The following is a 7,071-nucleotide window of genomic DNA, read 5'->3' as shown; positions in this document are numbered from 1 at the left end:
AGTGCACACGTGCACGCACACACACAGACACACACCCCAATAACCTTAAAAAAATTCAAACCCAGTGGAGGGGCTTCAATATATATAGCTAACTAGAGGCATGTGGTACTTGTGTTTTTAAAAAAATTCAAACCCAGTGGACGGGCTTCAATATAGCTAACTAGAGGCATCTGGTACTTGTGTTTTCTACAAAGAAGAACAAAAATAACAAGAAGATAATCACACTTCAACTAGATCATCTAAAAGAGTACACAGGAATTCAACAGAAAAGTGGCCAGAAACACCTAAGGCAAGGAAAGAGAGAAGTGAGACAGCCTGCTCAGCCATGACCAGCTGGGAGCCCAGAGAGGCTCTCCAGTGTGGAGAAAGGGTAAGTGAGAGACCCCCAGCAGTCCACATTCCCACTGTAGATTCTTGCAATCCTAGCCATGAGATAACTCCTCGACCCTTGAGGACCTTAAAACTAACATAGGAAGCTGCCTGAAGACCATACAACTCTACTGCTCTAGAATGGGAGCTCACGCTGGGTCCCGCACACACCACCCCTGGCAAATCCTAAGCAGCTACAGCAAGGTTCCATTTTGAGAGTCCATCTCTCAGCAGAATGAATCCTGTCATGAGGCTCAAAAGCCTCTGCATCTCCACATCCTGGGTCCCCCGTTGATATCCTCCACCCACAGCTGCTGCTGCTGGTTGCTGCTGTTGGCTGCTACTGCCAGGCCCAAAGTGTAAGCCATTGGCTGTGACACTGCCCACCCCCAGCAGTTGGCCACCACACATTTATAAGCAACCTAAGGACAGGCTACCTCATGCACATCTTCCACTTAGGGCCAAAGCATGCACTCCCCAACCACCTGCCCATGGTTGCTGCCACTGAAAACAACCCTGCCCACTAGCAGCAGGGTCACAGGGCATCTGCTGCCACCCTCACCCAAGCATTCTGCCAGGGACCTGGTGTATTGGTGAGAGTTCTCCAAAGGGACAGAACTAATAGGATATATGCATATATGAAAGGGAGTTTATTAAGGAGAATTGATTCACACGATCACAAAGTGAAATCCCACAATAGGCTGTTTTCAAGCTGAGGAGCTAGGAAGCCAGTAGTGGCTCACTCCAAGTCCAAAGCTCAAAAGTAGGGAAGCCGACAGTGCAGCCTTCAGTCTGTGGTCAAAGGCCTGAGAGTCTGCAGCAAACCACTGGTATAAGTCCAAGAGTCCAAAGGCCGAAGAACCTGGAGCCTGATGTTCAAGGGCAGGAAGCATCTAGCGCAGGAGAGAGAGATGAAAGCCAGAAGACTCAGCAAGTCAGCTTCTTCCACTTTCTCCCACCTGCTTTTTCTAGCTGTGCTGGCAGCTGATGGGATGGTACCCACTTAGATTGAGGGTGGGTCTTCCTCTCCCAGTCCACTGACTCAAATGTTAATCTCCTCGGCAACACCCATACAGACACACCCAGAAACAATACTTTGCATCCTTCATTCCAGTCAAGTTGACAATGTTAACCATCACATCCAGGATCACTCTGCCCCTGTCTACCACAGCTAGCACCTGCACACACTGCCAGTGGTTGTTGAAGACAGGCCTGCCTGGCCCAGCTCTGCCTCTTCCCACAGTGCCCAGGCATACTGTTCAGGAGCCTGGAGATCACCCTGCCCCATCCACCACCTTCGGCATGTGAGCACTCCTTCCAGGAGCCTAAGGATGGGCCATCCAACCTGCTGCTACCACCACAGCTGGCACCCACCTGCATGCATGACCTACGGGCTTGGGGACTGGCCCAACTAGCAAATTTCTGCCCCTGCCAACCCCAGTGCAGACTGCTTGGAAACAAGAAGGTTGTCCCACTACTGCTACTGCCATCATCTATGCCTTGCTCACTGTGCAGGGGCCCAAAGACCCACCAACCTGTCCAGCCCACCACTGCCACTGCCAGCACCAAAGCAAGCCATTTGGAGGCCCAAGAACCAGCCTGTCTAGATCTGCTAACACTGGTGCCAGTGCACATTACCCTGGGGCTCAACAACAGGCATTGTCAGCCTGCCACTGCCACCACTGGGACACAAGGACTGGCCCATTTTGTGTCCCCATCCCTAGCAGAATGTCACCACAGCCTCCACTAACAACCACACCCTATGCCACTGCTACTGATGCTGGTTACAGCCAAAGAAATCATACAGAGACTACACTACCGCATGCACCTGGAATCAAAGCCAAAGTGCCCTACACAACCAATACCATAGATACATCCTCAGAAAAAAGTCCTCCCTTATGAAAGCAAATTCACAAAATTGGAATAAGTGATTGTTACACCAGATGTGCAGATATCAGTGTAAAGACACAAGAAACATGAAAAAGCAAGGAAAGATAGCATCCTCAAAGGAACACAATAATTCTCCAGCAAAAGATTCCCATTAAAAAGAAACTTACAAAATCCCAGAAAGGAATTCAAAATAATGATTTTTTAAAGCTTAGTGAGATACAACAGAACAAAGTAAACAATACAAAGAAATTAGAAAAACAATTCAGGGTATGAATGAGAAATTTACCAGAGATAGAGGTCATACATAAAAGAACCAAACAGATTCTGAAACTGAAAAACTCATTGAATGGAATTAAAACATATATTCAAAAACTTCAATAATAGACTAGATCAAGCAGAAGAATTTCAGAGCTTGAAGACAGATCTTTTGAAATAACCCAGCCAGACAAAAATAAAGAAAAAAGAATTTAAAAGAATGAGTGAAGCCCACATGACATATAGCATACTATTAAGCAACCAAATGTTTAAATTTTTGGTGTCTCAGAAGGTGAGAGAAAATATAAGATCGAAAACCTATTTAACAAAACAATAGCTGGGAATTTTCCAAGTCTAGCAAGAGATTTAGACATCCAGATAACAGGAAACTCATAGATCTCCAAATAGATACAATTTAAAAAGGTCTTCTCCATGGCCCATTATAGTCAAACTGCCAAAAGTCAAAGACAGAGAATTCTAAAAAGAGCAAGAGAAATGTGTTTAGTCACTTATAAGGGAATCCCCATCAGACTAACAGCACATTTCTCAGCAGAAACCTTATAGGCCAGAAGATAATTAGATTATATATTCAAAGTGTTGAAAGAAAAAATGCCAACCAAGAACACTATACCCAAAATGTTATTTATAAACGAAAGAGAAATAGTCTTTCCCAAATAAGCAAATGCTGAGGGAATTCATCACCACTAGACAAGTTCTACAAGAAATGATTAAGGAAGTCCTGTACCTGGAAACAAATGGATGATATCTACCATCATGAAAACACATGAGTGTATAAAGCCCACTGGTAGAGCAAACACACAAATAAAGAAAAGAAAGGACTCAAATGTTACCACTAAGGAAAATCACCAAGCCACAATAATAAACGATAAAAGAGAAAGAAACGAACAAAGGATATACAAAAAACTCAAAATCAATTGATAAAATAAAAACAGGAATAAGCCCTCAGATATCAATAATAATCTTAAATGTAAGCAGATTAAACTTTCCACGTAAAAGATATAGACTGGCTAAATGGGTTAAAAAAACGAAATAAAACATGCTCCAACTATATGTTGCCTTCAAACATAGTGAAAGTATTCTAGCTTGATGTGTAAACAAGTTGTAAACTAACCTAGGAGTATACCCTTGTAACAAACCAACTGAGTCTCAGCCAATTATAGTAGCTGAACCTTCAGCAAATCCCAGGCTTTAAATTGCCAGATTATGCCCAAATAAAACAAACCTCAAACTGTACCAATCATTTAATCCCTGTATGTCATTTCTTGTTTCCTGATTTTTAAGTATAGCTCACCATGATGGAGGTGGGGGTATTCTGAACAATTTTTGGTTCAGAATGCTTCCCAGTTCTAAAACCTGTTTCCTGCACAAACTTTGTTAAATTTAATTTGTCTTAGTTTTTTCTTTAATAATTGTAAAATACAGCATATAAAGAAGTGAGGATAAAACTTTCAGGACTATTTTAACAAATATGTACAGCAAACCCTAGCAGTCAAGAAATATATTGCTAACACCCCAGCAAAAGCTACACCAAGCATACCCTTCTTCCTCCCTCCCTTCTTTTCCTGAGTATAGCCCCTTCCTTTCACCCTAGAAATAATAGCTCCCTGACAGGTTTAGTAATAATTTCCTCAATTTATTTTACCAACTATCCATTTGGGCTGCTATGACAAGATACCTCACGCTGGGTAATATATAAATTGAAGACAGATCTTGCTCACAGTTCTGGAGGCTAGGAAATCCAAGATAAAGACAACAGCAAATTTAGTGTCTGGTGAGGACTATTTCTTTCTTTGCTTCAAAGACGACGCTTTCTTCCTGGGTCCTCACATGACAGTAGGGGCAAAGAAGCCCCCTCAGGCTCCTTTTTAAGGGCACTAATCCCATTCATAACTCATGGGACCCTGCTGATCACCTCCCAAAAGCCCACCTCTTAATACCACCACATTGGGGATTAAGTTTTCACATTTCAACTTAGGAGAGACATAAACATTCAGACTGTAGCATTCTGCCTCTGGTGTCCCAAAATTTATTTTGTTCTTACATGCACATTCCATCCCAATAACCTCAAAACTCTTAATTTCAGCATCAACACAGAAGTCTAAAGTCCAGAGTCTTGTCTAAACATCATTTAAATCAGGTATGAGTGAGACTCAAGTTATGATTCATCCTGAGGCAAATTGCCCTCTGGTTGTGAATCTGTGAAATTAAACTTATATGCTTCCAAAATACAGTGGAGGAGAAGGCATACAATAAATGTTTCTATTCCAAAAAGGAAAAATAGGAAGGAATAAAGAGTTAACTGGTCTCAAGTAAGTCCAAAACCCCTCAGGGTAAACAACAGTAAATCTTAAGTCTTGACAATCAACTTTGACTTGATGTCCTGCCTTCTGGACATACTGGTGCAGAGGTTGGAACCTCAAGGCTCCAGGTGACCTCACCCCCATGGCTTTGCTGAGCACAGCCCACACAGCAGCTTTCAGGGGTTGGAATTAGGTGCCTGTGGCTCTCCCAGGCGGCGTTTTACACTGGAGGCTCCACAGTTCTGGGGTTTTGGGGCAGCCCTGCTCCCATGGCTCCATAAGACATTGCCCTATTGGGGACTCTCTGTGGTGACCCAACTCCCACAGTTCCACTGAGCAATGCCCTAGTGGCAGCTGTCTGTGGTGGTCCTTCCCCTGTGGCAGTTCTCAGCCTAGATTTCAAGAATCTCTGCGGTATCCTTTGAAATCAATGTGGAGGTGGCCATCCTCCCACAGTTCTTGCATTCTGAGTGCCTGGAGATTTAGCACCATGTGAATGCTGCAAAGGTTTACTACCCACATCCTCTGGAGGGCCAGCCACTGCTGCTGGCACCACAACTGGGCCCACTGGAGCCACACCGGGGGTGGCCAAAAAGTGCTGCATTTGAATCAAAGAGCAGAGATTTGAAGTGGCACTGGGCAGTGAGTTAAAGGCCCCACATATGTTCTGGGCCCCTCCTTTTAAACCATTATGCCTTCATGGCTCTGCCATTGTGGACCTGTGATGGAAATGGCAGTCCCAAAGATCTCCAAATATGTTCAGGGTCATTCTTTCATTGTCTTGATGAATGACACAGGGCTGAGTGATCCTGATCTCCTTATCAAAGAGTGATTTGGCCACACCCATGGTATTTTCTTCTGAACATGACCCGGCTGAGAATTTTCCATATATTACATTCTTTTCCCTTTTTGATTATCTGTCTTTAGCTCATTTCTGTCTTCTCACATTTTATCATAAGCAATCACGAGAAGTCATGCCACACCCTCAACACTTTGCTTAGAGATTTCTCCCCCGCAAATATCCTATTTAATCACTCAGAAGTTCTACCTTGCACAAAACACAATTCAGCTATGTTTTGTGCCACTTTATCATAAGGATTGTCTTTCCTCTCATTTTCAACAAGACGTTCCTCATTTCCATCTAATACCTCATCAGAATAGCCTTTACCATTCACATTTCTATTTAATACCAACATTCTGACCATGACCACTTAGGTAATCTCTATGAAGACTGAGGCTTTCTCTACAGTTCTTCTCTTCTAAACCCTCACCAGAATCATCCTTAATGCTTCATTAATGGCAATGTACAGTTTAAAAAGAAATCATGTACCCCCAAACTCTTCTAACCTCTACTCATTACCCAGTTCCAAAGCCACTTTTAAATTTTAGGTATTTGTTAAAGTGACAGCCTATTCTCAGTAACAATTTCTGATTGAAACTCTAAAAACAGAGATAGATTTTGCCAGGTTTTGAACTTTATATTCATTATGTTTTGTTTTTCCATATTTGTAAAATTCTTCCGTGTTGTTGCATGTAACTGATTCATCATCTCCATTGCCACAGTCACTGTTCATAGAGATTTGGATTGTTATCAGTGTGGAGAATATTGTTATGTCCATGTATCCTGGTGTACATACATACACATTTCTGTAGGATATATACCTAGAGTGGAATTGCTGGATCACAGGGTCTTCATATTTTCAGATACATAAGAAACACTAAACAGGGCTTTAAAGTGGTTTTACTGATCTACATTGCCACCAAAGGATATAAGAGTTCTTACTCTTCTACAACCTCACCTAAACTTCATGTTAATCGGCTTCCTGAATCATTTTCAACCTGATGGACATCCGATAGAAGCTTTAATTTGCAGTATTCTGATTAGTAATGTGGTTGAGAACCTTTCCAATTGTTTACTGATCATATAAATTTTCTCTTTTGTGAAGTGTTTGTTAAACTCTTTTGCTCATTTTTCTGTTAGATTATCTGTCTTGTTCTCATTGACTTGTCAGAGTCACTTACAATGTCCTTTGTCAGTTATAGGATTATTCAATATCTTGATCCAATAATAAGACAGATTACTACCTTAGATGGGAGACAGAATTATATTCCATATAAAAGAAAAATCAGAGACATACCAAAATAAATTTGTTAAAGCACATATTAGAAAGACATTTTTACAATCATAGAATGAAGAAAGACAGAAGAATGACATGAAACTCAGCAACCAGGAGTG

The sequence above is a fragment of the Homo sapiens genome, chromosome 1, assembly GCF_000001405.40.
Source record: "Homo sapiens chromosome 1, GRCh38.p14 Primary Assembly".
Classification (NCBI taxonomy): domain Eukaryota; kingdom Metazoa; phylum Chordata; class Mammalia; order Primates; family Hominidae; genus Homo; species Homo sapiens.
Note: the sequence above shows the minus strand (reverse complement) of the source record.